Source organism: Homo sapiens, chromosome 6 (assembly GCF_000001405.40).
Source record: "Homo sapiens chromosome 6, GRCh38.p14 Primary Assembly".
NCBI lineage: Eukaryota > Metazoa > Chordata > Mammalia > Primates > Hominidae > Homo > Homo sapiens.
The window spans coordinates 159,684,372-159,709,187 of NC_000006.12; the positions used below are offsets into that span (position 1 = coordinate 159,684,372).

General features: G+C 45.0%; 1 protein-coding gene across 9 annotated transcripts in view, besides 5 other annotated features; it reads right to left on the bottom strand.

Annotated features, from left to right (window-relative positions):
- Positions 1-24,816, bottom strand: part of SOD2 (superoxide dismutase 2) — a 93,213-nt gene that overhangs the window by 15,303 nt on the left and 53,094 nt on the right. For 3 of the 9 annotated variants that reach the window (NM_001322819.2, NM_001322820.2, NM_001322817.2), the window contains 3 exons: positions 8,290-8,492; positions 3,755-3,871; positions 483-662 (listed from right to left, as the gene is read on the bottom strand). In NM_001322819.2, coding sequence (NP_001309748.1) covers positions 483-662; positions 3,755-3,871; positions 8,290-8,377 — 385 coding nt within the window. In that variant the 5' untranslated portion in view covers positions 8,378-8,492. Of the gene's footprint in view, positions 1-482; positions 663-3,754; positions 3,872-6,547; positions 8,493-8,773; positions 8,871-24,816 lie in introns of those variants that run through there. The other 6 variants (NM_000636.4, NM_001024465.3, NM_001322814.2 and 3 more) reach the window with 4 other exon arrangements.
- Positions 2,946-3,196: a silencer, noted in NCBI's record as "fragment chr6:160108349-160108599 (GRCh37/hg19 assembly coordinates)". NCBI's record gives its function as "represses an EF-1alpha promoter that drives an FKBP-Casp9 reporter gene in an ReSE screen in phorbol 12-myristate 13-acetate-treated (for megakaryocytic differentiation) K562 erythroleukemia cells {active_cell/tissue: K562(+PMA)}" and the evidence as "EXISTENCE:reporter gene assay evidence [ECO:0000049][PMID:32094911]".
- Positions 8,113-8,182: an enhancer, noted in NCBI's record as "active region_25388". NCBI's record gives its function as "activates an Ori minimal core promoter by ATAC-STARR-seq in GM12878 lymphoblastoid cells {active_cell/tissue: GM12878}" and the evidence as "EXISTENCE:reporter gene assay evidence [ECO:0000049][PMID:35858748]".
- Positions 8,553-8,732: a silencer, noted in NCBI's record as "silent region_17751". NCBI's record gives its function as "represses an Ori minimal core promoter by ATAC-STARR-seq in GM12878 lymphoblastoid cells {active_cell/tissue: GM12878}" and the evidence as "EXISTENCE:reporter gene assay evidence [ECO:0000049][PMID:35858748]".
- Positions 8,933-9,222: a silencer, noted in NCBI's record as "silent region_17752". NCBI's record gives its function as "represses an Ori minimal core promoter by ATAC-STARR-seq in GM12878 lymphoblastoid cells {active_cell/tissue: GM12878}" and the evidence as "EXISTENCE:reporter gene assay evidence [ECO:0000049][PMID:35858748]".
- Positions 9,903-10,072: a silencer, noted in NCBI's record as "fragment chr6:160115306-160115475 (GRCh37/hg19 assembly coordinates)". NCBI's record gives its function as "represses an EF-1alpha promoter that drives an FKBP-Casp9 reporter gene in an ReSE screen in HepG2 liver carcinoma cells {active_cell/tissue: HepG2}" and the evidence as "EXISTENCE:reporter gene assay evidence [ECO:0000049][PMID:32094911]".

Sequence of the window (24,816 nt, forward strand, 5' to 3'; positions counted from 1 at the left end):
CTTCAGGAGGCCGAGGCAGGCAGATACCTGAGGTCAGGAGTTCAAGACCAGCCTGGCCAACATGGTGAAACCCTGTCTGTACTAAAAACACAAAAATTAGCTGGGCATGGTGGTATGTGCCTGTAATCCCAGCTATTTGGGAGGCTGAGGCAGGAGAATCACTTGAACCCAGGAGGCGGAGGTTGCAGTGAACCGAGATCGCACCACTGCACTCCAGCCTGGGCAACAGTGAGATCTGTCTCAAAAAAAATAAATAAAAATAAAACATGTTTGTTAATGTACCTATAAAATTACGTGTACTTAATTTTATGAAATATCAGGACTTCTAAAACATTTTTACTTACACAAGACTCTGGGTGTTATCTGTTAAGATTTGCAAATTATTACATGTTCTTAAAACACTGTTAGTTTTCCTTATTTCTAGTTGAATGCTTTACAGTAGAGCATCTCTCCCAAATGAAATCACAATTTTTAAATCTAACCTGTTGTTCCTTGCAGTGGATCCTGATTTGGACAAGCAGCAATTTGTAAGTGTCCCCGTTCCTTATTGAAACCAAGCCAACCCCAACCTGAGCCTTGGACACCAACAGATGCAGCCGTCAGCTTCTCCTTAAACTTGTCAAAGGAACCAAAGTCACGTTTGATGGCTTCCAGCAACTCCCCTATTAAAAAAAAAATCCAAAACCACCCACAAATGAACAGATTTCAATAATTACAGTAAAATGTTATATTACATGTATTAAAATATTTTTGTCATAGGGCCCAAGAAATTAGACAACATCAGAATGCGACACCTGGATCTAAGTTTCACAATTTTAATTCACGTTTTTGTTTTTTATAACTTCAACTTTTTTTTTTTTTTTTTTTTTTTTTCATTTTTTACCTTTTGAGACGGAGTTTCACTCTTGTTGCCCAGGCTGGAGTGCAATGCCATGATCTCGGGTCACTGCAACCTCTGCCTCCCAGGTTCAAGCAATTCTCCTGCCTTAGCCTCCCGAGCAGCTGCGATTACAGGCACGTGCCATCACGCCCGGCTAATTTTGTGTTTTTAGTAGAGACAGGGTTTCTCCATGTTGGTCAGGCTGGTCTCAAACTCCCAACCTCAGGTGATCCACCCGCCTTGGCCTCCCAAAGTGCTGGGAATACAGGCGTGAGCCACCGTGCCCGGTTCAAATTTTATTTTAAATTCAGAGGGTACACGCACAGGTTTGTTACACGGGTATCATATGATGCTGAGGTCTGGGGTGCAATTGATGCCATCACCCAGGTAGCGAGCTTAGTATACAACAGTTTTCACCCCCCGTCCCCTTCTTTCTCCCTCCCTGCTCTGTCCTCAGTGTCTGTTGCTGCCATTTTTATATCCATAAGTACTCCATGTTTAGCTTCCACTTGCAAGTGAGACATGTGGTATTTGGTTTTCTGTTCCTGGGTTAATTCGCTTAGGATAATGGCCTCCAGCTGCGTAGTTCACATTTTTTAATGAATCGTGTTAGAGGGATTTCCCCACTCACTGTACTATCTTTGTTAGGAAAGAAATACTACTTTCTGTTAGCTTTTTCTTTTCCCTGAATAGAAAATTTTCCTTTGACTTCTACCCTCCTTCTTCTACGCCTCCATTTGGGAATAAAGTCATTGTTCTTCTCCAAGGCAGCCCAGCTCTTCCTGTCTTGATGGGCAGTTTTCTCTACGACTGAACTAAGGGTATACTTTAAGAGCTGTAATCCTTTTATTCTGTAGTAATACAGAATATAATTCTAGATTAGTCACATCAACTAAATCAACTGGGTCAAAATCTCACTTCTCTTATTCTACGGGTTTAAAAGTAATCATCTTTATAAGCACAAATGATGGAATGTGGTACAGATTAAACAAAAATGGCAGCATACCAAAACCACTGGTTGCATATGAATATATCTGATATTCTGGTAACTGACAAAACTTCAAAAGTATTAACCGATAGTCTAGAAGACTGAACTCAGAAAAAAAATAAGTTGGCCAGGCACGGTGGCTCACACCTGTAATCTTAGTACTTTGGGAGGCCGAGACAGGTGGATCACCTGAGGTCAGGAGTTCAAAACCAGCCTGACCAACATGGAGAAACTCCTCTCTACTAAAAATACAAAAAAATTAGCCGGGCATGGTGGCAGGCACCTATAATCCCAGCTACTCGGGAGGCTGAGGCAGAGAATCACTTGAACCCGGGATGGGCAGAGGCTGCAGTGAGCCAAGATCAAGCCACTTCACTGTAGCCTGGGCGAAAGAGCTAAACTCCATCTCCAAAATAATAATAAATAAAAACAAAAATAAAGAAAAAGTTGCCCAGTTTCCCAAGCTTACTCTCCTCATTCATCATTACCTTAAAATGAAATTGCTTATTTCAAGTGCATAAGATAGGCTGCCTTCCATAACACTGATTAAAAATGAACAATAAAACCACAGAAACTTAGGGTGCATATCCGGAGCCCAGAAACAAGAGACAAGAACTACATTTACGCCTCATGCCCTCCCTGGGTGAAGAAGATAATTAAAGTCATCTGGGCCTCCACAAGCTACACAGGAAGTCAAGGAAACAGTGATAGCGAACAAGACCATCTAGCCCTGTACTCTCCTCATTCCCTGAACACTTTTTAAAAATACCCAGAAAACCTAATTTCCTGGAACAACTGACTTTTTATCAGTTAGGAAAGAGTGAAAAATAGCAAATGACACTATAATTTAATTCTCAAAACAACACCATTGTTATCCCTGTATCACATAGATGAAAAAAGGTACAGACGGTTAACTATCTAATCCAGGCCCTAGAAACTAGTAGACAGAAAGTTCATCTTTTCTAGACTGGCGCGGTGGCTCACATCCATACCACAGCACTTTGGGAGGCCAAGGTGGGTGGATCACTTGAGGCCAGGAGTTCGAGACCAGCCCCGCCAACATGGTGAAACCCTGTCTCTACCAAAAATATAAAAATTAGCCGGGAGTGATGCCACATGCCTGTAATCCCAGCTACTTGGGTGGCTGAGACACAAGAATTGCATGAACCTGAAAGGCGGAGGTTGCAATGAGCCGACATTGCACCACTGCGCTCCAGCCTGGGCGACTGTAAGACTCCGTCTCAAAAAAAAAAAGTTCATAAAATGAAGTCTCTCAGTCTTTCCCTAATATGAAGTACCATCCAGAAACCAGAAGGTGGAGTTGATGTGATATTCTATGTTGGCGTGAACATAAAATCTTATGACATAACCCCATGAAAGCATTCTCCATTCCTACTTGTGTCCTTTTGAAAGTTACAACTTTTATCATACTCGTTGTTATGAAAAATATGCCACTATGATACCTCTGGTAAGAATAAGGTAACTTAGGCCAGGCACGGTGGCTCATGCCTGTAATCCCAGCACTTTGGGAGGCCAAGGTGGGCAGATCATGAGGTCAGGAGTTCAAGACCAGCCTGGCCAACATGGTGAATGAAACCTCATCTCTACTAAAAATGCAAAAATTAGCCAGGCGTGGTGGCGGGCGCCTGTAATCCCAGCTACTTGGGAGGCTGAGGCAGGAGAATCACTTGAACCCAGGAAGCGGAGGTTGCAGTGAGCCAAGACTGCGCCACTGTACTCCAGCCTGGGCAACAAGAGCAAAACTCTTGTCTCAAAAAAACAACAACAAAAAAAACAAAAAACAAGTATAAGGTAACTTCAGTAAATCAACAATCGATTCCTACTGTGCACAAAATGTAGATAAGGGTGCACCAATATATACCAACCTTTGGGTTCTCCACCACCGTTAGGGCTGAGGTTTGTCCAGAAAATGCTATGATTGATATGACCACCACCATTGAACTTCAGTGCAGGCTGAAGAGCTATCTGGGCTGTAACATCTCCTGAAAAGTTAAAATGCAAACACATTTTTTTGTAACTCCTACTTTTTCAACCACTGTATACATTATATTTTTTTCTTTGTAAGCTATTAGATAATGGGACCAGCTTATCTATAACATCCGTTTGTCCTAAAATTCAGCACCCCCCCGCCCCAAAATTATTTGTCCCAGACATGCTGAACAACTGATGAAGGACCTAGCAGAGGTGGAAAAGCTAGAAAATTCACTCCTGGCTGCTAGGCTCAGGGATCTCTTAGATAGAAGAGATTTTAGGAAATGAAACACCAAAGAGGACAATCAAAATAATAGAATGCTAAAATGTATGGCTCAACATACAGACTGTACAGAAAACCTTCAACTCTCACTTTCAAGACAGACGACGATTCATTGGGAAATATCTCCAAGTCACATTAACAAGAAACTCAACATACTCAAAATTGAACTCCTGATGTTCTACCCCAAACTTACTCCTCCTATTGTCCTCCACGTCTCAGTAAATGCCAGCTCTGTCCCTCAGGACATCCTTGGGAACCTGATGTCATTTTTGACTCCTCTCCCTTCACCCCACATCCAATCCACCAGCATATCCATTAGCAAAGCCAGCTCTACCTTTAAAATACATCCAATCTATATAAAAGCACACAGAGAAAAATAAAAGAAAAAAATAAAACACAAGCAGAACCTAATCCCTTCTCCCTAACTCTACTGCCACCTCATTGGGACAGAGGACCAGTATTTCTCACTGCACTGGTGCCACTATCCCCTCAGTTTTGGGGGGTGGGGGTGGGCCTTGCCCCCTCCAAAGGCTCCCCTTCTCACTGGAGCGAACCCTAGGTGTTTACACTCAGCTACTCTTACTACCAAGAGGCGCTGCACTTGACCCCGTCATTGAGCACGTGCTCACGCAGCTGCAGCCTCACTGGCCTTTTTGCACTCACATGACCAACTTGGATGTTCCCCTCAAGGCTAGCTGAGCACTGCTGCCTCTGCTGAACACTCTTCCCCAAGACAGTCTCATGCTGCGTTCCTGTTCCTCCTTCAAGTCTCCACTGAAACATCAACCCCATCAGTGAAGCCTTCTCTAGCCACCATACATGAATTAGCAACTCCCTGCCACCCCTCCCAGACCCTTTACTCCTTCTCAATAGGCCCTGTAACTCCTGGCATACTGCATGGGTACCTTGCCAAATAAGTAGGCAAAATAAAATAGTCTTTTCTATGCCTTCAAGAAGCTACAGACTAAATGAACTATTAATATTAGAAAAAAATGGAAATCCTCTTGTTTAATAAATATTTTGTGCATATTATCCACAAGATACCAAGAGAAGCAAAGTAAAGGACACAGAGACCCACTGAGAGCTTTGCTCTCAAGGAGCTTACATTTTGGAAAAAGTTCTCAACTGCTGTTCTGAAAGTGTACGTTAAGAACATATGTCTGGGCCGGGTGCGGTGGCTCACGCCTGTAATCTCAGCACTTTGGGAAGCCGAGGCGGGCAGCTCTCTTCAGGTCAGGATTTCAAGACCGGCCTGGCCAACATGGTGAAACCCTGTCTTCACTAAAAATACAGAAATTAGCCAGGTATGGTGGCGCGTGCCTATAATCCCAGCTACTCAGGAGCATGAGGCAGGAGAATGGCTTGAACCCAGGAGGCAGAGGTTGCAGTGAACCAAGAACACGCCACTGCACTCCAGCCTGGGCGACAGGGCAATACTCCGTCACAGAAAAAAAAAAAGAAAGAGAAAGAAAAAAACATACATACAAGGCCAGGTGAGGTGGCTCACGCCTGTAATCCCAGCACTTTGGGAGGCTGAGATGGGCGGATCACTTGAGGTCAGGAGTTCCAGACCAGCCTGGACGACATGGAAAAACCCTGTCTCTACTAAAAAACCCACAAAAAGTAGCCAGGCGTGGTGGCGTACGCCTGTAATCCCAGCTACTCAGGAGGCTGAGGCAGGAGAATTGCTTGAACCCAGGAGACGGAGGTTGTAGTGAGCCGAGATCACATCACTGCACTCCAACCTGCGGGACAGACTGAGATTCCGTCAAAAAAAAAAAAAAAAAAAAAAGTATGTCTGACTAGGCACGGTGGCTCACACCTGTAATCCCAGCACTCTGGAAGGCCGAGGTGCGTGGATAGGGGAGCCCAGGAATTCAAGAGCAGCCTGGGCAACATAGTGTGACCCCGTCTGTTTTTTTTAGACAGAATTAAAAAAAAAATTTTTAAAAGGAACATACGTAGACAATGCTGCTTTCTGAAACAAGCTCCAGTTGTTTAGCGATTCAGAAAGGAGAGAACCAACTGATATCTGAATACACAGCTAATCTCAAAGGGTTTTTTAAAGACACCAACTTTTTTTTTCCTTTGTTAGGTTTACAAACAGTTTTTTATAGATCTGTGTTTCCCTTATTAAATTTTCTTGAGAGTCACTCTAAAAATAGATGTAACTTTTCTATTGTTTTTTAATAAATCAATAGTAACTGAATTTTTAAAATGGGAAAGATACATGCTTAATGAGAGATAATTTAATAATCTTAACATCTTACAGTTTGCTTACTCATTTTAAAATTAATAAAAATTGAGGGCTTAATATCTGCTTTTAAGAACACTTTTCTGAAATTCAACATTTTATTTGGTTTCAGTTTAGTTTTTGCCTCAAATAATAATAAAAGTCAAATGCTTTTTGTTGAAAAATATTCATATTAGTCAGTTAAATGTGATGAGATTATGACATTGTTTTATCTTTTTTCCCCAAGTTTTCAAACATGAAAATCTTTTTAATAATTTTTAAAATATGTTTAAGTAAAAGAAAGCTCTGCAGGTACTCAATCACTTATAAACAATATAGTACAATACAATAAAAAGCTTTTTTCCAGTGGGTTGTATTACATAAGTAAGGCTCTGATTCCACAAGTAAAGGACTGAAATTAAGTTGTTTTTAAAATACTGAAGAGAAAGGTTCCTGGTGTCAGATGTTGCCTTACAGGAAGTACTTTCACAACTGGGGTATTCCCCAGTCTCTCCCCATTACATGTTTCCCAAATTTGTTATTTCCTAAATCACGGGGCCTTTTCCCGTAATTCAAGGTTCGTCTGTCTCAAGTAAATCTTCCAGAATGTGGTAACTTCCTCCTCTTTTAATCATTTACTTCAAACACAATCAGGCTGAAATACTGCATTTTTCCACTAGATGCCTCCAGTCAACAAGATGTGACTGTCTAAAAATTACTCAACAAATTTCATAACCCCGAAATTCAAAACATTTAAGGAAAAGTAAACATTTTTTACTACGTAGCTTACCAAGCAATACAGAGAGTCTAAAAAACATGACTATCGATTATCTTCCTTGTGCAAACCACTAACGAATAAATTAAAAAGACAATACTATTTTGTAAAAAACGTTAAAACATAACATTCCCATACACACCCCCAAAAGGCACAGACTCAAAAAGTCCACATACCCCTGGTTTTATCAACCGAGCTCTTGAGAAAAAAAAAAAAAGTTAACAACATATATTTTAATTGCATTACAAATATGAGTAAATAGTAAATAAAAACAAGCCTGTTTCAGTTTCCCACTAAAGGGCTATTTTCCTTGTGAACTTTGACCCCTAAGGGAAATCAAGAAAAGTATCAAGTCTAAAGATCCTGAACTGTTCCACAGTTAGGTTACTGCTTTTTTGGTAACGCACACCACAACGGTGTGCCTCCTCCTCTCCCACCTGAAGTCAAGTGGGCTCAGTGAAGTTTCACCTGCAGGGTAGCTGGGGATGCAGGGAGTCTCCAAGTCCTAGGCTGGAGTCCCGACCCCGTTTGCTCTCAGGAAGATGACAAGGACCATGGTTCCTAGCACGGAGTAGTGTCCTCCTGTCTCCCACCTTCAGTGTGACCTGGCAGTAAGACACCACTCCCACTTCTATCAGGAGGTGACCCTGACACTCAGAGACACCTGCGGACCCGATGATGTCTGGCCACCAGTGGACAGGCGCTCTCAGCCCTCCTGCAAACGGCTGGCACACCTACCTGAGAGACCAAACATTTCCCCAAAGCACATTATACAACAAGAACAATTTCAATTTGCAAAAAAAACGAGTGACACAGTAGAGCTTTCTTTTCAGGCCCTACAATTCACCAGTGCTGGCAATATGTGTAACGGAATGTGGCTCACAACAGTAAGGCAAGCTCCTTCGCAGGACCCCAAGTTCCCTGAGATGACAGAAGTGTGTTCAAACCCATCGAGGCACTCCTTCTACAATGAGGTAGACCATGTGTTTAAAAGAGAGACTATCGTGCCTGGAAAACTCGGAACCGGTACAAATACGAAGCGAGTTCTCCTCCACGGAGAGGCCCGTCCGTATGGGGCCTGGCTCCCTGGGGTCGCCTCTGCCGGGGACTGCCTCCCGCCGCTCAGCCTGGAACCTACCCTTGGCCAACGCCTCCTGGTACTTCTCCTCGGTGACGTTCAGGTTGTTCACGTAGGCCGCGTGGTGCTTGCTGTGGTGCAGCTGCATGATCTGCGCGTTGATGTGAGGTTCCAGGGCGCCGTAGTCGTAGGGCAGGTCGGGGAGGCTGTGCTTCTGCCTGGAGCCCAGATACCCCAAAACCGGAGCCAGCTGCCTGCTGGTGCTGAAGACGAGAAAGCACAGCCCGGTCAGTCAGCGCCGCGGGACCGTCTACGCAGGCTGGGCTGCCGAGGAACGGCAGCGCGCGGCGTCCCCCGAGTCCCCGCGTCCCCTCCCTGCGGATCCCCGCTCCAGCCGCCGCGCCGGGCACTCCCGGGAGAACCGCCTGCAGGTGCCCCGGTCCCGCCAGGCCCGGTGCGGCCACTGTCGCCATTGCCGCGGAGGCCCTGCCCGCCGCGAGCCCCTTCGCCCTTGGGGCCGTGACCGGGTCCCCTTTCTTCTCACCCGCACACTGCCCGGCTCAACATGCTGCTAGTGCTGGTGCTACCGCTGATGCCGCCGATCTGCTGAAGCCGCTGCCGAAGCCACCACAGCCACGAGTGCCGCTCCTGCGCCGCCCGCGGGCCTTAAGAAAGCGCGGGGAGCAGGGCCGCGACCCCAGCTGCGCCGCAAGGGCACCGCCGCCCCGCCCCCCCCCCCCGCGGGCCCCGCCCCGCGCCCGCCGCGCCCAACCCCGGGGGTGCCCTGCGTGCCTGTCCCGCCCGCCCGCGCTTGCCGTACACCCCGCGCCCAGGGCACGGGAGAAAGGAGGCTGCAGGCTAGCCTCGGCCTCGGCAACCTCGCTGCCTGTCTGCCGTACTTGAGTGGCGCGCGGCCGAAGGGAGGCGGCCCCTGCCCCCGTGGAGTTGGTACGGCCCGAAGGCCCTGCCTCCGGCTCCGCCCCTGAGGGTGCCGGCGGGGATCTGGCTGCACTAGGCGGCTGCGGCGCCTGCCCCTGAGTTTTGGTTGCGCTGCCGGGGGGCCGCGGGGTCCAGAGGCCTCACTGCAAAAAGACATTCATACCCTCCCAGGGCCCCCGTGGCCGTTCCTAGGGAAGACGGGGCCTAGCTGCTGGTCAGCGCCGCCCAGCCGGCCTATGAGCTGAGGGTAGAGCCAGCGCCCTTCCAACCCGTATTCAGTACTCTTGCGCCGTACCCTTGCTTTGCAAGTAAGCCGACCTTGGGACCTATTCCAGGACAGGAGGCACACAGACTTTGTCCCCACCGGCTGCCTAAGAACAGTTCTTGGACACCCACGACGTGCCCGAGACTGCAGGCAGGATTTGCACACATTTATCTTTATTTTTACCCCTAGGGTTGGTATTATTGATTCTAGTAATAGTGAAATCCTTTGAGGTTAAGCAGCTTCTCCTGGGCACAGTTAACTGAGTCAGGACTAGTTCCCACCTTCCTCACTACTAAGCCCTGGCAGTCATGTTTTGTGTGTTTACAGTAACTCTGTGAACCAACTGTTCAGGATAACATAAAAGGACAACAGAGGATTCTTTCCTGCGCTGTCTTGTAGCCTAGTAAGCTGTTAAGTATCAAGTGCTCTCTCAACAGTTAAACAACAATCCTGAATGGTGTGAATCTTCCATGTGTAGAGGTTAGGAAATCTACACTGCCATTGGCGGGAGTTGCCCCTTTATTGAAAAGAATATGATGGAAGGTAGCAGGTGCTGAACCGTTTCCGTTGCTTCTTGCAACCCCCGTACAGCCCTCCGAAGGATGACTAGGCTTCCGGTAAGTGGAATGGGAAAACAGTCAGGCGAAGAGGAACCACCTGAACTTGGCTTCACAACAGGAAGGGCTGGGCTTGTTTACAGACGTCAGAAGAATGTAACTAGGGCTACGTGTTGGGGTGAAAAAGGAAATTCAGGCTGGGACCAGGTTATAGATACTCTTATTTTTTTAATTTATTATTTATTTATTTTTGAGACACAGCCTCGCTCTGTCGCTCAGGCTGGAGTACTGTGTCGCGATGTCGGCTCACTGGAACCTCTGCCTCCCGGGTTCAAGCGATTCTCCTGCCTCAGCCTCCCGAGTAGCTGGAATTACAGGCGTGCACCTCCACGCCCCACTATTTTTTTTTTTTTTGTATTTTTGGTAGAGACGGGGTTTCACTATGTTGGTCAGGATGGTCTCGAACGCCTGACCTCAAGTGATCTGCCCGCCTCGGCCTTCCAAAGTGCTGGGATTACAGGTAGGAGCCACGGCGCCCGGCCTATAGATACCCTTAAAACGCAGACAAGAGCAGGGGTTTGATGTGATTGTTAATTGGAAGCTGAGAAACATTTCTGCTGAGGTGAGACACACTGAAAGTGGTTTTTCAGGCAAGGTGGTCTGGCACTGACTTGGGGGGATGAAGGGAGTGCAGGCTAGTTAGGAAGCTGGTACATTCGTCTCAGCAGGAGGTACTGCAGGTCACTTTTAGGGCACTAGCTATGAGAACTGGAAGAAAAGGGCATTTTGAAGGATGAATCCACAGGATTCAGAGACAGATCAGTCATTGTAATGGAAAGACTTGATCTAGTGATAATGAAATATTCCTATTGGGAGGCTGAGCTCAGGCTACTTACTTGCACTTCTTGTTTGTATAGAGAGTGATACTTTGAGAGTTTAAAGCGACTCCTAGGACATGCCCTTTAGAACAAGCACCAAACGTTGGGGGCTGGTAGGACTGATAGCAGCAGTCAGGTAGAAGAATCTCCAACATCACACCTGTCATCAGCTACATCATTACAAAACACTACCATGACTGTGAGCACATCCAAGGTTGTGGGATATGGGAGGTAAAGAAAAGTTTACCTTGTCTACCACACCCAGTGAACAGGCTCCGTTTTCTTTTTCTTTTTGTCGCCCAGGCTGGAGTGCAGCGGCGTGATCACGGCTGATTGCAGCGACTTGCTGGGCTCATGTCATTCTTCCACCTCAGCCTCCCAAGAAGCTGGAACTACAGGTGCATACCACCATGCCTGGCTAATTTTTTTTATTTTTTGTAGAAACAGAGTTTCTTCATGTTGCCCAGGCTGGCCTCAAACTCCTTGGCTCAAGTGATCCTCCCACCTCAGCCTTCCAAAGTTCTGGGATCTATATAGGCTTGAGCCACCACACCTGGCTGCCTTTTTTTTAGGTGGCCACTGTAGAGGGTACTGAATGGCCTCAGAAGTTAGATTACAGTCGATTGACCTGTGTCCCAAGTTACTCCAGCCAGCTCAGGATGTCCTCTGCAACATCAGGACACCATGAATATGGATTTCCCATAGATAAACTTCCTAAGGCTACATCACAGCCATCCTGAGACCCACCACAGTACAGACCTATATATTGTTTGGAAGAAGCAACCAATGTGGGTTGAGATGAAGTCATTTTGAGCCAGTTATTAACTGCATTCATATTCCAGTAACAGATCCAACCACAGTTTCTTAAACACAGAAGAGTGTATTCCCTCATGTAACAAAGATCTGGGGCAGTCAGTCCTGGGTTGGGATGAAATTCCATTGAGTCATCAAGGATGCAGGCTTTCTGTCTTCAAAGCTGCCTCATGGTCCATAATAGCTTCCACAGCACCAGCAACCTCATCTCCCTTCTAGGCAAGGGGAAGGACAAAAGTCTGGGCTCCCACTGTCTCCCCCAACCTTTTTTTATTTTTTCTTTCCGAATCAAGAGTCTTGCTTTGTTGCTGGGCTGGAGTGCAGTGGTGCGATCTCGGCTCACTGCAACCTCCACCTCCTGAGTTCAAGTGATTCTCCTGCCTTAGCCTCCTGAGTAGCTGGGATTACAGGTGCGTGCCACCATGCCTGGCTAATTTTTGTATTTTTAGTGGAGATGGGGTTTCACCATGTTGGCCAGGCTGGTCTCGAACTCCTAGACTGAAGTGATCTGCCTGCCTCAGCCTCCCAAAGTGCTGGGATTACAGGCATGAGCCACCATGCCTGGCCCCACTATCTCCATTGTAAGGATCCTTTGTGGTAGATTCATCCAACAAATTCCACTTGCTGCTCACTGGTCAAAATTTAGGTACAAGGCTACCTAGCACAGCCTAGCCACAAAGGAAGCTGAGAAATGTAGTCAGGTATGGGGCCAGGTGCAGTGGTTCATGCTTGTAATCCCAGCTCTTTGAGAGGCTGAGGTGGGAAGATTGCTTGAGGCCAGGAGTTTGAGACCAGCTTAGGCAACATAGCAAGACTCTGTCTCTACCAAAAAACAGTAGCTGGGTGTGGTAGCATGTGCCTGCAGTCCTAGCTACGCCAGGAGGCTGAAGGCAGGAGGATCACTTGAGCCCAAGAGTTCATGGCTGCAATGAGCTATGATTATGTCACCTTACTCCAGTCTGGGCAAGAGAAGGAGACCCTGACACACACACACACACACACACACACACACACACACACACACACACGCAGTCAGCTATACACATTTGAAGTCAGAAAAAACTTGCAATTCTGTACCTACAGGAGAAAATGAGTTTAAAAAAATCGTTGTTGCTAAATATCCTCCTATAAGGCATTATTTCCACATGCTTTGACATAAACTGATCATTAATGGAATTACCTTAGCTACATTCTCTTGTTTTTCTTTCTTCCTGCCTGTGGTTTGTGGGGTTTTTTTCTGCTTTTTTAAAATTTGGGGTCACAAATCTTATCCAGGCAGGAATCTGAGAATTGGTTGTAACCTGTCCTTTGCAAGAGTGGTATTGTTAATAGGACCAAAAGTAGTACTTAAATTGCCAAAATGAAGTGATCTAGGCTAAAAGAGAAAATGATTATAGAGCTATATTAAGGTTTCAATGTGAGCTTAATTTTTTTCCCCACTTCGGGCAAAATTACGATTAGATTGCATCCTCAAAGAACACATTAACTACTGGAAAGGAAAGGAGGAGCTTGGTTCAGAACAAAAGTGTTCTGTTAAACAAAGGGATAAAGTGGGCATGTGTCGCAGGTAATCATGAGTTGATTACGTCCATAAAGGGCAAAGGGAGTCGGCATCATTGAGCAGATCCTCCATGTTGCTAGCTACTAAGTCAAATGCTTTATTCCTGCTGTAAGCAAAGACAGTGACTTGACCAAGGTCACACATAGAGCTAGTAGGTAGTAAGGGGGATATGAATGTACAGTTGACCCCTGAATGATGCAGTGTCAGGGGTGCTGGTCCCTTCACAGTCAGAAATCTGCGTATATGCCCAGCACCATGGCTCACGCCTGTAATCCCAACACTTTGGGAGGCCGAGGTGGGCGGATCATCTGAGGTCGGGAAATCGAGATCAGCCTGGCCAACATGGTGAAACCCCATCTCTACTAAAAATACAAAAATTGGCAGGGCCCAGTGGCTCACGCCTATAATCCCAGGACTTTGGGAGGCTGAGGCAGGTGGATCATGAGGTCAGGAATTGGAGACCAGCCTGGCCAATATGGTGAAACTCTGTCTTTACTAAAAATACAAAAATTAGCTAGGCGTGGTGGCACGCACCTGTAGTCCCAGCTACTTGGGAGGCTGAGGCAGAAGAATCGCTTGAACCCGGGAGGCGGCAGCTGCAGTGAGCTGAGATCTCGCCACTGCACTCCAGCCTGGGCGACAGAGTGGGACTCAGTGTCAAAAACAAACAAACAAACAAACAAAAAACAAAACAAAAAAAACACTTGAACCCAGGAGGTGGAGACTGCAGTGAGCTGAGATCCTGCCACTGCACTCTGCACTCCAGTCTGGGGAACAGAGCGAGACTCCATCTCAAAACAAACAAAAAATTAGCCAGGCATGGTGGCAAGCACCTGCAGTCCCAGTTACTCAGGAGACTGAGGCAGGAGAATCGCTTGAGCCTGGGAGGCAAAGGTTGCAGTGAGCTGAGATCGCGCCACTGCACTCCTGCCTGGGTAACAGAGTGAGACCTTGTCTCAAAAAAAAAAAAAAAAAAAAAAAAAATCCAATAAAACATTTAGAAAAAAAAAAAAACAAGAAAAGAAATCTGACTGTAACTTTTGACTCCCCAAAAACTTAACCACTAATAGCCTGCTGTTGACCGGCAATAACATAAAGTTTGTACATCACAGAGAAGACAATAACAAAGTTGATTAGCACATATTTTTTATGAATATTGTGTTCTTAAAGTAAGCTAGAGAAAAGAAAAAAATAAGAAAATCAAGGAAGAGAAATTATATTTACTATTCATTAAGCAGAAGTGGATCATCATAAAGGTCTTCATCCTCCTCATCTTTATGGTGAGTAGGCTGAGGAAGAGAGGTTGATCTTGCTGTCTGGGGGGTGGGGGGCGGGGGTGGAGGCAGAAGAAAATCTACATAGAAGTGGACCCATGCAGTTCAAACCCATGTTGTTCAAGGGTCAAGTGTATTGCTGTTAAACCTGTGTAGCTCCGTGCCTTTAAACAGCTGCCACTCCCTCTCCCACATTTTTCACACCCAAAAGAATTGGGCCCAGCCTTATCTAATTGGAGCCCAAGATTTGAAACTTTCTTCCTCCTTCTGTCCCTACACAACTTCCCAACTTATCCCTATCTCCTCAAATCCTGATTGGCCTGCTGTCCCATCTCTTACACGACTCTGGTCATCACTCTTGGACCTAAAGCTTGACATTGCTTCTATGCCCTGACCTTGGTCCATCTGCCCCTTAGATGGCATTTGCTTTGTAGCCTCAGTGAAGACCCAGCTTCCTGGAGTTTCCCTTCACAATGGCCCAGCTCATTCTTCCCAACCTAGTCTAGTGAAAGACTCAGACTTGCTGGGGACCCAGGAGGCCAAAAGAGAAGGGTTGTCCCATATTGAGAGTCCGGCAGAGCCCTCCATAAGATCCTTTCATGAGGACTTCCTGCAACATCCTGCCTCCTTTATGGAAATGGACACCACCTCTTCCCCATTACTACTCCACGAGAAAAAAAAAAACAAACATGGTCACTGCATTCTATGTAAGGGTGGGATCTGTCATTATTAAACTGCCAACTTCTAGTTCATATCCCAGGATTTGTCATGGAGTAAGATTGATTTCAGGTGCACAGTTCCAAGAATGACTCTCAAGGGCTACTCAAGCTACTAAAGAGTAGCCCAGACCACTGAGGGCTGTGAGCAAGCATAAGGATCTTGGCTGGCTGAATCTCTGGGCCAGCACAACCCAGGGGCTGCACTCCACACTGTACATCTACTCGGAGCAGCCAAAATAGGTACACAGGAGGAGTGGCCTCGCATACCACCCAGGTCCATGCCAGATTGTGGTCCACTGAGAACAGTATTGATATCACAGTATTTCTGGGAACCTATGTCCCATCTCAGGCAACTCCCAGGACTCAATCCATCTTGGCCTGCATCACCCTCCTCTCGTGCCAGCTTACATCTGCATTTACCCTCTGGTGAGAAATTAGATAAAATCGCATAAAATAAAACTTCATTTTCATGCTAAAGATATTTAGTTTGAGGAACTAGTCAGCTATATGTTGGTACACTAGAGGTGAGCCACTAAAAATGATCACTGTTCAGTTAGATGTGGACAAAACATATTTAAGAGTGGGACAATTATTAAACATTTAAGGGATCAGATTGGTTTCCAGGTGTCTTTAAATGCCACTCCACTTTAGAGAATTAATGGAAATTAGAGACAACACATTACTAGTGTGGTGATGCAGTAGCTCCAGTAATTTTCTGGTTCTTCATCTGAATTCATTTACATGGTTTAAGTTAAAATGCATTGTTGGCCAGGCGCGGTGGCTCACGCCTGTAATCCGAGCACTTTGGGAGGCCGAGGTGGGTGGATCACAAGGTCAGGCGATCGAGACCATCCTGGCTGACACAGCAAAACCCCATCTCCACTAAAAATACAAAAAATTAGCTGGGTGTGGTGGCAGGCGCCTGTAGTCCCAGCTACTCGGGAGGCTGAGGCAGGAGAATGGCATGAACCCAGGAGGCAGAGCTTGCAGTAAGCCAAGATTGCGTCACTGCACTCCAGTCTTGGTGACGTGCGAGACTCTGTCTCAAAAAAAAAAAAAAAAAATCAATGCATTGTTAACATGTGTGGCATGTTTTCCAACTCCCATTTTTTTGATGGCATGGATAAGACTTAGTCTCTAAGTACTAAATGAAGAACAAATATCTCTCTGAGTGCACTTTGAAAGTAATGCTTAAATGTCTGGTCTCTGGGACATAACATCTATCTTTGTTAAACTCTGACTTTTTACTGACCTGATTTTCATTTAGGTTCAGTCTAAGCTTTCCAAATCAAGCAGAGACCTAATTTTCTTAAGCTTCCCTGGAACACAATGTAGGATCTCGGCTTTTAGACTGAACTCTAGGAGACACAAATTCTCAGTGATGGGGTGGTCTCCAAAACCATGAGAAGGAGTCCACTTAAAGCAACTGTCAGGCAAGACAATATGTAAGATTTCCCTGTATTCCACCCACATGCCACCACTGTGAGCAATATAAATATAACCCCACACCTGCTTCCTCTCCAGGCCAATCCCTGGAGATTTGAGAAACCATGGTTAGCATGCTCAAAGATGAGCAGCAGCAGCAGAAGGCAAGACGCTAGAGAAGGCACCTGCCAGCTGCCAACATCTTTCTCCCTCTGTAGGCTGCTGGCCTGCTAGAGGCCTGTGATGAAGTTTTGACTTTAAATCACTTTCAGAGTTTTGCTTCTCACATGGGAGCATTTTGGATAGTGAATTGAGCCTGTGTTCTAACTTAAAGTGATTATAAGACTTTTTATTACTAAAGAACATATATTTTTTAAAAGGTCACGGGACCAAGCTGGGCGTGATAGCACATGCCTATAGTCCCAGCTACTTGGGAGGCTGAGGCCCGAGGATCACCTGAGCCCAGGAGTTCGAGGTTGCAGTGAGCCACGATCATGCCACTGCACTCCAGCCTGGTGACAGAGTGAGACCCTGTTTCAAAAAAAAAAAAAAAAAAAAGTCATGGGACCAGCATTTGATCCAGGGACGAAGGAAAAACAAGCCCATGAAGCAAATTTAATGACCTATTGGGCAATAAAGGAATATCACTTCATGATCTCATCCATGAGTCATTGTTACTGTTAATAGTCACACATCAGTGCTATGGTAGAATCTCAAAATCTCCCACATTTTTGGTATTTGAATGGTACCCAACATTTCCAGCTTGAATGTGGACTTTTCCCCAGCAATTTGTATATTCTATGAGTCATTTCAGTGGGGATTTTAGGAGAGAACCTGTGCTCATTCCCCTTCTTGCCAGAGGATCACCCACCCCGTCAGCCCAAGTGTGACCTTTACAGTTAGAAAGTGCTATACACAGCTGCTTTTCTCTCACTTTTTCCTAGAGAACAAGAACAAAATCTCCCTGCCTTGTATCTAAGGTTTTTCCTACTGAGAAAGAGACTTGTTATTCAGTTCAATGGTTTATGGGCATAAAATATGGATGCCCCAAATAAGGGACCTTACTTTATCATATAAATCTGATGAGCTTAAACATACTTTAGATTACATTCTCTGTAGTTAGTTGTGCCTTTATGCTGCTACGCATTTGTAGTGGCTAACACCTGTAATCCCGGTGCTTTGGGAGGCTGAGGCGGGAGGATCCCTTGAAGCCAGGAGTTCAAGACCAGCCTGGGCAGCAAAGCAAGACCCTGTCTGTATAAAATTTTTTTTTTTTTTTTCTTGAGACTGAGTCTCACTCTATCACCCAGGCTGGAGTGCAGTGGTGCAATCTCAGCTCACTGTAACCTCCGCCTCCCAGGTTGAAGTGATTCTTGTGCCTCAGCCTCCCTAGGAGCTGGGACTACAGACGTGCACTGCCACACCCAGCTAATTTTTGTATTTTAAGTAGATGGGGTTTCACCATGATGACCAGGCTGGTCTCAACCTCCCAACCTCAGACAATCTGCCCACCTCCGCGGCCTCCTGAAGTGCTGGGAATACAGGTGTGAGCCACCCTGCCCAGCCTATAAACAATTTTTTAAAACCTCAGCCAGCAGCAATACAGGGAAGCTCTATCTCTCCAAAAAAAAAAAAAAAAAAAAAAAAAGAAAGAAAGAAAGAAAGAAAAAAAAGCCAGGCATGGTGGTGTGCGCCTGTAGTCCCAGTTACTGAGAGGCTGAGGTGGGAGGATCACTTGAGCCCAGAAGGCAGAGGATGCAGTATGTTGTGATGGCACCACTGCACTCCAGCCTGGGCGACAGAGCAAGACCCTATCTCGAAAAAAAAAAAAAAAAAAAAAAAAGCCAGGTGTTGTGGTATTTGCCTATAGTCCCAGCTACTCAGGAGGCTAAGGTAGGACTGCTTAATCCCAGGGGTTCGAGGCTGCAGTGAGCTCTGATTGCACCACTGCACTCCAGTCTGGCCAACAGTGAAACCTCATCTTTAAAAAAAATGGCTTCCGGCCAGGCATGGTGGCTCACGCCTGTAATCCCAGCACTTTTGAAGGCCGAGGTGGGCAGATCACCTGAGGTTGGGAGTTCGAGACCAGCCTGACCAACATGGAGAGACCCCGTCTCTACAAAAAATACAAAATTAGCCAGGCGTGGTGGCGCATGCCTGTAATCCCAGCTACTTGGGAGGCTGAGGCAGGAGAATAGCTTGAACCCAGGAGATGGAGGTTGCAGTGGGCCAAGATTGCGCCATTGCACTCCAGCCTGGGCGACAAGAGTGAAGGGCTTCTGTTTTTGTATGTATGTATGGAAATTCTGTTGTGTGTGTTTCAAGGAGTGGACAAAGAAAGCAGCTTACTACATGGAAGTTGAGGCTTTACCTCTTTTTTTTTTTTTAAAGGAAGATTTAACAAGTTTCACTTAGTACAATACTTCTAAATGGAAATCACAAGGAAAGATTTAAACCAAAGCCTCAGAATTCCATACAAATGACATGACGAAACTCCTAAAGTATTAGTATTACATCTTAAAATTGTCCCATATGTTAAAAAAAAGTAAAAGTATACACTCAAGTGTACACTCACATGCCTTACAGGATATTAAACCAAAAAGCTAGAATTAACAAACATGCCAAATGTTTTCACTTTGAATCGCATACACAGCCCCTATATTTGATGAGCATCCAAACTTTTCAATGTATTTATGGGGTACAAGAGCAACATTTAACACAAGTGAAACTGCATCAACCTAAATATGCTTACTGCTTAGATACACTCCTACAACATAACTAACTTGAAGAAAGCTGAAAATTGTTTTAATAGTTATGATCAATACTGAACTTTGTTATGTCCTAGATGAATGTTTCAGTGTTCAAAATTACTGAGCTTGAAGTTTTAAAATAATCTTCCACTGTTACAGTAAGCATGTGACACAAGCCTGTAATGCAAAACTGTTAAACTTTTGTTTTCTTTAAAAAGGAAAGGCTGGGCATGGTGGCTCACGCCTGTAATCCCAGCACTTTGGGAAGCTGAGGCATGCAGATCATGAGGTCAAGAGATCAAGATCATCCTGGCCAACACGGTGAAACCCCATCTCTAATAAAAATACAAAAATTAGGAGAGGCGGATCCAAGATGGCCAAATAGGAATAGCTCCAGTCTACGGCTCCCAGCATTAGCGATGCAGAAGACGGGTGATTTCTGCATTTCCAACTGAGGTACTGGGTTCATCTCACTGGGGCTTGTCAGACAGTGGGTGGAGGACAGTGGGTGCAGAGCACTGAGTGTGAGCCGAAGCAGGGCCAGGCATCGCCTCACCTGGGAAGCGCAAGGGATCAGGGAATTCACTTTCATAGCCAAGCAAAGCTGTGACAGACGGCACCTGGAAAATCGGTTCACTCCCACCCTAATACTGCGCTTTTCCAATGGTCTTAGCAAACAGCACACCAGGAGATTATATCCTGTGCCTGGCTCAGAGGGTGCCACGCCCATGGAGCCTTGCTCACTGCTAGCACAGCAGCCTGAGATCGAACTCCAAGGCAGCAGTGAGGCTAGGGGAGGGGCGCCTGCCATTGCCGAGGCTTGAGCAGGTAAACAAAGCAGCCAGGAAGCTCGGACTGGATGGAGCCCACTGCAGCTCAAGGAGGCCTGCCTGCCTCTGTAGACTCCACCTCTGGGGGCAGGGCATAGCTGAACAAAAGGCAGCAGAAACCTCTGCAGACTTAAATGTCCCTGTCTGACAGCTTTGAAGAGAGCAGTGGTTCTCCCAGCACAGAGTTTGAGATCTGACAACAGACAGACCACGTCCTCGAGTGGGTCCCTGACCCCTGAGTAGCCTAACTGGGAGGCACCCCCCAGTAGGGGCAGACTGACACCTCACATGGCCAGGTACCCCTCTGAGAGGAAACCTCCAGAGGAACGATCAGGCAGCAACATTTGCTGTTCAGCAATATTCGCTGTTCTGCAGCCTCCACTGCTGATTCCCAGGCAAACAGGGTCTGGAGTGGACCTCCAGCAAACTCCAACAGACCTGCAGCTGAGGGTCCTGTTAGAAAGAAAACCAACAAACAGAAAGGACATCCACTCCAAAACCCTACCTGTACGTCACCGTCATCAAAGAACAAAGGTAGATAAAACCACAAAGATGGGGAAAAAACAGAGCAGAAAAGCTGAAAATTCTAAAAATCAGAGCACCTCTCCATCTCCAAAGGAACACAGCTCCTCACCAGCAATGGAACAAAGCTGGACAGAGAATGACTTTGACGAGTTGAGAGAAGAAGGCTTCAGACGATCAAACTTCTCCGAGCTAAAGAAGGAAGTCTGAACCCATCGCAAAGAAGTTAAAAACCATGAAAAAAGATTAGACGAATGGCTAACTAGAATAACTAATGCAGAGAAGTCCTTAAAGGACCTGATGGAGCTGAAAACCATGGCACAAGAACTACGTGACGAATGCACAAGCTTCAGTAGCCGATTCGATCAACTGGAAGAAAGGGTATCAGTGATTGAAGATCAAATGAATGAAATGAAGCAAGAAGAGAAGTTAAGAGAAAAAAGAGTAAAAAGAAACAAAGCCTCCAAGAAATATGGGACTATGTGAAAAGACCAAATCTACGTCTGATTGGTGTACCTGAAAGTGACAGGGAGAATGGAACCAAGCTGGAAAACACTCTGCAGGATATTATCCAGGAGAACTTCCCCAACCTAGCAAGGCAGGCCAACATTCAAATTCAGGAAATACAGAGAATGCCACAAAGATACTCCTCAAGAAGAGCAACTCCAAGACACATAATTGTCAGATTCACCAAAGTTGAAATGAAGGAAAAAATGTTAAGGGCAGCCAGAGAGAAAGGTCGGGTTACCCACAAAGGGAAGCCCATCAGACTAACAGCTGATCTCTCAGCAGAAACTCTACAAGCCAGAAGAGAGTGGGGGCCAATATTCAACGTTTTTAAAGAAAAGAATTTTCAACCCAGAATTTCATATCCAGCCAAACTAAGCTTCATAAGTGAAGGAGAAATAAAATCCTTTACAAACAAGCAAATGCTGAGAGATTTTGTCACCACCAGGCCTGCCCTACAAGAGCTCCTGAAGGAAGCACTAAACATAGAAAGGAACAACTGGTACCAGCCACTGCAAAAACATGCCAAATTGTAAAGACCATCGATGCCAGGAAGAAACTGCATCAACTAATGAGCAAAATAACCAGCGAACATCCTAGTGACAGGATCAAATTCACACATAATAATATTAACCTTAAATGTAAATGGGCTAAATGCTCCAATTAAAAGACACAGACTGGCAAATTGGATAAAGAGTCAAGACCCATCAGTCTGCTGTATTCAGGAAACCCATCTCACATGCAGAGACACACATAGGCTCAAAATAAAGGGATGGAGGAAGATCTACCCAGCAAGTGGAATACAAAAAAAGGCAGGCATTGCAATCCTAGTCTCTGATAAAACAGACTTTAAACCAACAAAGATCAAAAGAGACAAAGAAGGCCATTACATAATGGTAAAGGGATCAATTCAACAAGAAGAGCTAACTATCCTAAATATATATGCACCCAATACAGGAGCACCCAGATTCATAAACCAAGTCCTTAGAGACCTACAAAGAGACTTAGACTCCCACACAATAATAATGGGAGACTTTAACACCCCACTGTCAACATTAGACAGATCAACGAGACAGAAAGTTAACAAGGATATCCAGGAATTGAATTCAGCTCTGCACCAAGCGGACCTAATAGACACCTACAGAACTCTCCACCCCAAATCAACAGAATATACATTCTTCTCAGCACCACATCGCACCTATTCCAAAACTGACCACATAGTTGGAAGTAAAGCACTCCTCAGCAAATGTAAAAGAACAGAAATTATAACAAACTGTCTCTCAAACCACAGTGCAATCAAACTAGAACTCAGGATTAAGAAACTCACTCAAAACCACTCAACTTCATGGAAACTGAACAACCTGCTCCTGAATGACTACTGGGTACATAATGAAATGAAGACAGAAATAAAGATGTTCTTTGAAACCAACGAGAACAAAGACACAACATACCAGAATCTCTGGGACACATTTAAAGCAGTGTGTAGAGAGAAATTTATAGCACTAAATGCCCACAAGAGAAAGCAGGAAAGATCTAAAATTGATACCCTAACATCACAATTAAAAGAACTAGAGAAGCAAGAGCAAACATATTCAAAAACTAGCAGAAGGCAAGAAATAACTAAGATCAGAGCAGAACTGAAGGAGACAGAGACACAAAAAACCCTTCAAAAAAATCAATGAATCCAGAAGCTGGTTTTCTGGAAAGATCACAATTGATAGACCACTAGCAAGACTACTAAAAAAGAAAAGAGAGAAGAATCAAATAGATGCAATAAAAAATGTTAAAGGAGATATCACCACCGATCCCACAGAAATACAAACTACCATCAGAGAATACTATAAACACCTCTACACAAATAAACTAGAAAATCTAGAAGAAATGGATAAGTTCCAGGACACATACACCCTCCCAAGACTAAACCACAAAGAAGTTGAATCTCTGAATAGACCAATAACAGGCTCTGAAATTGAGGCAATAATTAATAGCTTACCAACCAAAAAAAGTCCAGGACTAGACGGATTCACAGCCAAATTCTACCAGAGGTACAAGGAGGAGCTGGTACCATTCCTTCTGAAACTATTCCAATCAATAGAAAAAGAGGGAATCCTCCCTAACTCATTTTATGAGGCCAGCATCATCCTGATACCAAAGCCTGGCAGAGACACAACAAAAAAAAGAGAATTTTAGACCAATATCCCTGATGAACATTGATGCAAAAATCCTCAATAAAATCCTGGCAAACTGAATCCAGCAGCACATCCAAAAGTTTATCCACCGTGATCAAGGGGGCGTCATCCCTGGGATGCAAGGCTGGTTCAACATACGCAAACCAATAAATGTAATCCAGCATATAAACAGAACCAAAGACAAAAACCACATGATTATCTCAACAGATGCAGAAAAGGCCTTGGACAAAATTCAACAGCCCTTCATGCTAAAAACTCTCAATAAATTAGGTATTGATGGGACGTATCTCAAAATAATAAGAGCTATTTATGACAAACCCACACCCAATATCATACTGAATGGGCAAAAATTGGAAGCATTCCCTTTGAAAACTGGCACAAGACAGGGATGCCCTCTCTCACCACTCCTATTCAACATAGTGTTGGAAGTTCTGGCCAGGGCCATCAGGCAGGAGAAAGAAATAAAGGGTATTCAATTAGGAAAAGAGGAAGTCAAATTGTCCCTGTTTGCAGATGACACGATTGTGTATCTAGAAAACCCCATCATCTCAGCCCAAAATCTCCTTAAGCTGATAAGCAACTTCGGCAAAGTCTCAGGATACAAAATCAATATGCAAAAATCACTAGCATTCTTATACATCAATAACAGACAAACGGAGAACAAAATCATGAGTGAACTCCCATTCACAATTGCTTCAAAGAGAATAAAATACCTAGGAATCCAACTTACAAGGTATGTGAAGGACCTCTTCAAGGAGAACTACAAACCACTGCTCAACGAAATAAAAGAGGACACAAACAAATTGAAGAACATTCCATGGTCATGGATGGGAAGAATCAATATCGTGAAAATGGCTATACTGCCCAAGGTAATTTCTACATTCAATGCCATCCCCATCAAGCTACCAATGACTTTCTTCACAGAATTGGAAAAAACTACTTTAAAGTTCACATGGAACCAAAAAAGAGCCCACATTGCCAAGTCAATCCTAAGCCAAAAGAACAAAGCTGGAGGCATCACGCTGACTTCAAACTATACTACAAGACTACAGTAACCAAAACAGCATAGTACTGGTACCAAAACAGAGATATAGACCAATGGAACAGAACAGAGCCCTCAGAAATAATACCACACATCTACAACTATCTGATCTTTGAGAAACCTGACAAAAACAAGCAATGGGGAAAGGATTCCCTATTTAATAAATGGTGCTGGGAAAACTGGCTAGCCATATGTAGAAAGCTGAAACTGGAACCCTTCCTTACACCTTATACAAAAATTAATTCAAGATGGATTAAAGACTTAAATGTTAGACCCAAAACCATAAAAACCCTAGAAGAAAACCTAAGCAATACCA